At 65.7% G+C, this 5379-nt stretch overlaps 3 protein-coding genes across 8 annotated transcripts in view, besides 10 other annotated features; all 3 read left to right on the top strand.

Annotated features, from left to right (window-relative positions):
* ARHGAP39 (Rho GTPase activating protein 39) overlaps positions 1 to 1503 on the top strand; it is a 171184-nt gene extending 169681 nt beyond the window's left edge. For all 6 annotated transcript variants that reach the window (XM_011517308.2, NM_001308208.2, NM_025251.3 and 3 more), the window contains one exon: positions 66 to 1503. In XM_011517308.2, coding sequence (XP_011515610.1) covers positions 66 to 260 — 195 coding nt within the window. In that variant the 3' untranslated portion in view covers positions 261 to 1503. The remainder of the gene's footprint in view (positions 1 to 65) is intronic.
* Positions 605 to 704: a silencer, noted in NCBI's record as "silent region_19707". NCBI's record gives its function as "represses an Ori minimal core promoter by ATAC-STARR-seq in GM12878 lymphoblastoid cells {active_cell/tissue: GM12878}" and the evidence as "EXISTENCE:reporter gene assay evidence [ECO:0000049][PMID:35858748]".
* Positions 1436 to 2025: a silencer, noted in NCBI's record as "silent region_19706". NCBI's record gives its function as "represses an Ori minimal core promoter by ATAC-STARR-seq in GM12878 lymphoblastoid cells {active_cell/tissue: GM12878}" and the evidence as "EXISTENCE:reporter gene assay evidence [ECO:0000049][PMID:35858748]".
* Positions 1571 to 4949, top strand: C8orf82 (chromosome 8 open reading frame 82). Its single transcript, NM_001001795.2, has 3 exons — positions 1571 to 1921; positions 2610 to 2658; positions 2895 to 4949. Exons 1-3 carry the CDS (start codon positions 1766 to 1768, stop codon positions 3338 to 3340), a joined length of 651 nt encoding a protein of 216 aa, NP_001001795.1. The 5' UTR covers positions 1571 to 1765; the 3' UTR covers positions 3341 to 4949.
* Positions 2036 to 2085: a silencer, noted in NCBI's record as "silent region_19705". NCBI's record gives its function as "represses an Ori minimal core promoter by ATAC-STARR-seq in GM12878 lymphoblastoid cells {active_cell/tissue: GM12878}" and the evidence as "EXISTENCE:reporter gene assay evidence [ECO:0000049][PMID:35858748]".
* Positions 2036 to 2922: a biological region, named in NCBI's record as "Sharpr-MPRA regulatory region 11949".
* Positions 2043 to 2337: a silencer, noted in NCBI's record as "tiled region #11949; HepG2 Repressive non-DNase unmatched - State 1:Tss, and K562 Repressive DNase matched - State 4:PromP". NCBI's record gives its function as "represses a minimal TATA promoter and a strong SV40 promoter by Sharpr-MPRA in HepG2 and K562 cells {active_cell/tissue: HepG2 | K562}" and the evidence as "EXISTENCE:reporter gene assay evidence [ECO:0000049][PMID:27701403]".
* Positions 2066 to 2922: an enhancer, noted in NCBI's record as "H3K27ac-H3K4me1 hESC enhancer chr8:145753144-145754000 (GRCh37/hg19 assembly coordinates)". NCBI's record gives its function as "activates a minimal SCP1, AML or CMV promoter by ChIP-STARR-seq in naive H9 embryonic stem cells {active_cell/tissue: H9 hESC(naive)}" and the evidence as "EXISTENCE:reporter gene assay evidence [ECO:0000049][PMID:30033119]".
* Positions 3465 to 3854: a silencer, noted in NCBI's record as "silent region_19704". NCBI's record gives its function as "represses an Ori minimal core promoter by ATAC-STARR-seq in GM12878 lymphoblastoid cells {active_cell/tissue: GM12878}" and the evidence as "EXISTENCE:reporter gene assay evidence [ECO:0000049][PMID:35858748]".
* Positions 3465 to 4636: a biological region, named in NCBI's record as "H3K4me1 hESC enhancer GRCh37_chr8:145751430-145752286".
* The window catches only part of LRRC24 (leucine rich repeat containing 24), a 4646-nt gene continuing 2915 nt past the window's right edge, over positions 3649 to 5379 (top strand). The window contains exon 1 of the mRNA NM_001024678.4: positions 3649 to 3722. The gene's annotated coding sequence lies outside the window, so the exon portion shown is untranslated. The remainder of the gene's footprint in view (positions 3723 to 5379) is intronic.
* Positions 3780 to 4636: an enhancer, noted in NCBI's record as "H3K4me1 hESC enhancer chr8:145751430-145752286 (GRCh37/hg19 assembly coordinates)". NCBI's record gives its function as "activates a minimal SCP1, AML or CMV promoter by ChIP-STARR-seq in primed H9 embryonic stem cells {active_cell/tissue: H9 hESC(primed)}" and the evidence as "EXISTENCE:reporter gene assay evidence [ECO:0000049][PMID:30033119]".
* Positions 5369 to 5379: part of an enhancer, noted in NCBI's record as "H3K27ac-H3K4me1 hESC enhancer chr8:145750035-145750697 (GRCh37/hg19 assembly coordinates)", that runs on past the window's edge. NCBI's record gives its function as "activates a minimal SCP1, AML or CMV promoter by ChIP-STARR-seq in naive H9 embryonic stem cells {active_cell/tissue: H9 hESC(naive)}" and the evidence as "EXISTENCE:reporter gene assay evidence [ECO:0000049][PMID:30033119]".

The raw sequence follows: 5379 nt of genomic DNA, 5'->3' as shown, positions 1-5379 counted from the left end.
CCCCGCTGCTTTCCCCTCCCCGCCCCGCCCCCGCCCCTCCGCGCCCACCCTCGCTCCTCCACCAGGTCTTCGTGCAGCCGGCCAACGTCGCGGTCACCAAGATGGATGTCAGCAACCTGGCCATGGTGATGGCGCCCAACTGCTTGCGCTGCCAGTCCGACGACCCGCGCGTCATCTTCGAGAACACCCGCAAGGAGATGTCCTTCCTGCGGGTGCTCATCCAGCACCTGGACACCAGCTTCATGGAGGGTGTGCTGTAGCGGGGGCGCCCGGGGACAGGAGGGATGTCCTGCCGCCCCCAGCCAGGCCGAACTCCGCACTCGCTCTCCCGGCAGAGGGGCCAGAATCGCCCGGCCCAGCCCTGGAGCCCCCTCCACTCCCCCAGGCCCCTGGCCCCGGCGCTCCCCACGTCTTCTGCCTGGTCTGAGGGTGCAGCCAGGGCACAGCAGCGGCGGGGAGGGCGCCTCTGGCCCCCCACCTCACGGCCAGTTCCCGCGGGCACCGCCTCGCCCTCCGCTGGCCGCGGGTCAGCTCCGAGAAAGTGCCTTCTGTGTCCTGGAGCCGAGCGACGCTGCCTCCTTGGGGCCGGGCTGCCTCCCTGTGGCTCCTGCGCGCCCTGGCCTGGGCCTTGCCCAGCCGCCCCGGTCTCTCCTTCCCTTTCTCCTGTCCTCGTCCTGGCCTGCAGCTCTTCCCAGCCCCGAGAGAGCTTCCCGACCTGTCCCCGCCTCCTCTCCCTCCCTCGGCCCGTGGTCCCCAGCTGGTGACTGCTCAGGAGTTTGGGGGCTCCAGGACAGTGGGCCCGGGGCCTGGCAGGCTCTCGGTGGGTGGGGTGGGGGCCCCCAAACCAAAGTCCTCTGGGGTAGGGAGCAGGGCTGGGCAGGCATTCTGGGGGCAGGGTGGGGGAGGGGCGAGAGTATTTTTTTCTTCGTGTAACTGTAAATCCAGAATCTATCCTGCATCGCAGCCCACCGTGTATAGAGATATAAATAGAGGGAAAGATATAAGAACTAAATTTGCTAATGACATAGTTTTAACCTAAATGCTATTTATCTCTGAGCCGTCCCCGTCCTCCGTGCAGAGCAAGTTGAGGTCATTCCTTCTTTTCTTCTCCGATCTTTTTTCTTGGCTTCTGACCAAAAACCAAGCTCTACCCCATCCCCATCCCAGACCTGCAGGAGACGAGCGAGCGGGAAGGCGCCGGGCCCGGGACTGTCCGTTCTCGGGGCCAGAGCTGCTGGGGGACCGAGTTTGTACATTTTCCATTTTGGAATTTTGAGTTCCAATTGTTGTAAAACTTAATTTCTCCCCAGTTTTTATATATATATTTTTTAGAGTTCCGTTTTTATTTATTAAAAACAAAAGCCCCAGCCCTGCCGAGGCCTGGGCGGCGTCCTCAGTCGGGTGGTCCCGGGGCCTTTGCGGTCCCGCCCGGCTGAGACGCTCGCCCCGACGCATGGACCCGAGAGGCGACGACACGAGTGAATAAAGTGCACATGGACCCTGCGCGTCCTCCCGTTCCTTGTGGGCGCGGCCGGGGGCGGGAAGAGACGCGGGGCGGACCGGAAGGGGCGTCACCGGCACACGCCTCTCGGAAGGCCAGGGCGGGCGAGCCCCCGAGGCCCGAGGGAGAGGGAAGAGCGCCGGGCCCGGGTCGCGGAGGCGGGCGCCGCCGGAACGCGAAGCGCGGGGCTACTGCGGGCAGGCGCGAGTTCGCGCAGCACCGCCCCCGGCGTGACCTGCTGGTCGCTTCCGGCGCGGGAGGAGAATGTGGCCGCCTTGCGGGACGCTCCGGACCCTGGCCTTGGCGCGGTCGCGGGGAGCCCGGGCCTGCAGCGGGGATGGGGGCGTTTCCTACACGCAGGGCCAGAGTCCGGAGCCGCGGACCCGCGAGTATTTCTACTACGTGGACCACCAGGGCCAGGTGGGCGGGGGCAGGGCCGTTGCTCGAGAGGCGGGGCCGGGAGAGGTCTCTGGGCGGGGCGGGGGGGGGGGCGTGGCTCTGTGGGCGGGACCATTGCTCGAGGGGCGGGGCCGGAGGGACGTTCCAGGGGGTGGGTGGGTGGGCGGGGCCTGCGCGGTGGGCAACCTCGACTCCTCAGAGCTGGAGGAGAGCGCGCTGGAAAGACGGGGAGTTGGGTCGGTCCGGGCCGAGGCTCCTACATGGGCCGCGTCCCTGCTGCGTTGTGCAGCTTCGGACTCTGTCCTACAAGTCCCCAGCCCCGGCGCTGACTTCTCGCCGCTGCCAGGGAGACACCCGGGCCGCCCTGCCTTTTTTTGGAAGCCCTGTCAAAAGGCAGCTGCATGTCCGGGAGGCAGCAGGCCAGGTAGTCTCCGCGGAGGAGGTGGTACAACTGATTACAAACTTGAAAAGAGGGAAAAGGTGCGGGAAAGAATTGGCTGACCAGGGAGCAGAGGTGCGCATAGACGCGGATAAGTCGGCGGGGCCCCCAGGTTTACCTTTCACGCGCCTCCCTGCATGCGGTGTGCACAGACAAGCAGGAAAAGTGGGCTCGGGCCGGTTCAGGACCTCCCGAGCTTCAGGACCTCCTGAGCTTCCCCGCCCCCACCTGCACGCTGGGACTTATCACGGCCTGGCCCTCTATCTGCAGCTTTTCCTGGATGATTCCAAAATGAAGAATTTCATCACCTGCTTCAAAGGTAATGCTGTGCCTCCCTCTCCAGCCCCTTCTTTCTCCCTTCCGGGCAGCCCCTGATGGGCTCCCCGACTCTGCCGACGGGCCCAGCGCACCAAGGAGTGGGCGTCCTGCGCTCAGGAGCCCCGCTGAGTGAGGCCAGGCGAACCTCTTACCGTCGGCGCCTGCCCTCGGTATGGTCCTGGGCCCGGAGGCCTTGGGAGCCCAGCGCGCTGAGTACACGCACCCTTCATCCCCCAGACCCGCAGTTCCTGGTCACCTTCTTCTCCCGCCTGAGACCCAACCGCAGCGGGCGCTACGAGGCCGCTTTCCCCTTCCTCTCGCCCTGCGGCAGAGAGCGCAACTTCCTGCGCTGCGAGGACCGGCCGGTGGTCTTCACGCACCTGCTGACCGCGGACCACGGGCCTCCGCGCCTCTCCTACTGCGGCGGTGGCGAGGCCCTGGCCGTGCCCTTCGAGCCGGCGCGCCTGCTGCCCCTGGCCGCCAACGGGCGCCTGTACCACCCGGCGCCGGAGCGTGCGGGCGGCGTGGGCCTGGTGCGCTCCGCCCTGGCCTTCGAGCTCAGCGCCTGCTTCGAGTACGGGCCCGGCGCGCCTGCGCTGCCCTCGCACGTGCGCTGGCAGGGCCGCCGCCTCGCCCTCACCATGGACCTGGCCCCGCTGCTGCTCGCGGCTCGGTCGCCCTGAGCGGGGCCAAGGGAAAGGCGGGAGGCCGCGGGCGCCTCTCGCCCCGCTCCCCCGGGACTCCACGCCCCGGAAAGCCCGCGCCACCCGCGCTCGCGGCAGCCTAGTGCGCCTGCGCGCTCGGCCCCGCCCCCACCCGGCGCTGTCCTTGGTGCTGCCGCGGCCCGGCCCTCCCGGACACCCCGCTCCCCACGGCGCGCGCCCCCCGCGCACCCGACTCCGGCGCCCTCCGGATTGGCCTGCGCTCGAGACGTCAGGCACTGGCGGCGGGCGCGGGGCTCTGGTGCGCGTGCGCGAGCGTCCCCCGCCCCCTCCCAGCCCGGCGACTGCTCGGGCCCGGCCGCCACCTGCACGGCGGGGGAGCCGCTCGCCGCGGGAGCGTCAGGTGAGGGGACGCCCGACCCAAGGTCACCAGGCGTGGGGGCGCTGGGGGATCGGGGACCATCCCGGCTCTGACCCTGGTGCGCTCCGAGAAGGGCGTGGGTCCTGGAGGGGGATGGGGAACGCGGAGGCCACGCCCTCCCTGAGCCCGGCCGAAAATCAACCGGCTCTCGTGGGTAGCAGAGGAGGCCGTGGGGGATACAGGCACCAGGTCGCAGCGCTGCAGAGGTGCGCAAGGGCCGCCCAAAGACCAGCTTGGGCCTCGCACTGCGCCCGAGGCAGACACAGGGCGTTCCATCCTCTTCCCTCCCCGCTCCCGCACAGAGGGGCGCCCAGGAGGCAGTGACAGTCGTCGCGGAATCCTGCGTGTGACACCCCGCCCCTGCCCAGCGGATTAGGGAGTTGTCCTCTGGTAAAAGGATTTCTGGGCTGCTTCCAGCTTGGGGCCCTCATCCCTGCCCTGGCAGGCCTTTCTACACCGATCTGCATCTAGTGGGGGGTCAGCGTGAGCAGCAGCGCCGTGAGTTCTGAGGCCAAGAACCTTCTCCACTTGAGAAGCCTTCCTGGGGGAGGCTGAGTGGGCCAGGCCTGGAGCCACGTACCAACACTTTATACCCAGGGGAATGGATCCCAAGGGCCCAGATAACGCCCCCAACTTCTTGGGGTTCACACGCGTCCTGAGACATCTGGGAACTGCCTCTGCCTGGGCCAAAGCTATTCCATTAAAACTTTATTGCTGTGCTTACTTATTTCTAGTGACTTTAAATAATCATGTGAGTTACAATTTAGGGCAAGATTTAAACACCAAGGCCACTTGGTCCTGTCCCTTTCCACATGACTCGAAAGGAGGAAGAGCTGATGGACAGGCAAATGTTTGGGGAGGCCGGCCAGATGAGGCTGGGAGACAGGACACCTGCAGCCCTGTTTTCCCTGGCTTCGGGTGGGCTGGCTGGCTTAGCCCAGATCCCTACTTTTAAAACTGGGCTCCTTGTTCCTGAAACCAGACCCCAGCCTTCCCATTTCTTTACGACAAGTACATGTATATGGTCCCCCAGCAAACTCCCTGCTCCTTGCTGATCTCAGAGGTCACACTGCTCCCAGAGCCCACTTGGGAAGCCACACCAGAAACCCAGTTGGTGGCCCAAGGCGTCCCCTGTCCCACCCCAGCTTTCCCAGGGCCCCATCTATCCCCAAAGACAGGACACCTTTCTGGGGACCGGCATGGGAAGCACAGACCCATGGCTCCTGAACCGAATTTCCTATTATTTTTCTCATCCCCCAATTCTCTGACAGGTTACCTGAGAAAAAGGCCCAATTCTAGTTAAGCTGGTCCCACCCCTAGGCCAGCAGGAGCAGGTGCTGGACAAAGCTGTGCCTTGACTTCCCTGGGGCTCGTAGCTCCTCTGAGGCCAGCTCTGCCCAGGCCCCCACAGGATAACAAGGAGGCGTGTCTGCCCAGGGCCTGCTCTCCCCCTCCTAGCCATGCTTGGGTAATGGGACCCCGGGCTTTGTCACCTAAGCAAAGTTCTCAAGCCATACCCTGTACTTCCAGCTTCTTGCACCCTAGAACCAAGCAGCAGCCACTTGCCTGGGGGTAGAGTCGGGGGCAGCAAGCGACACACATCCACGTCCTGAGCAGGAAGCTCCTGACCTGCTGGGCA

Source organism: Homo sapiens, chromosome 8 (assembly GCF_000001405.40).
Source record: "Homo sapiens chromosome 8, GRCh38.p14 Primary Assembly".
Lineage (NCBI taxonomy): Eukaryota > Metazoa > Chordata > Mammalia > Primates > Hominidae > Homo > Homo sapiens.
Note: the sequence above shows the minus strand (reverse complement) of the source record. Positions and strands in the feature narration are given on the sequence as shown.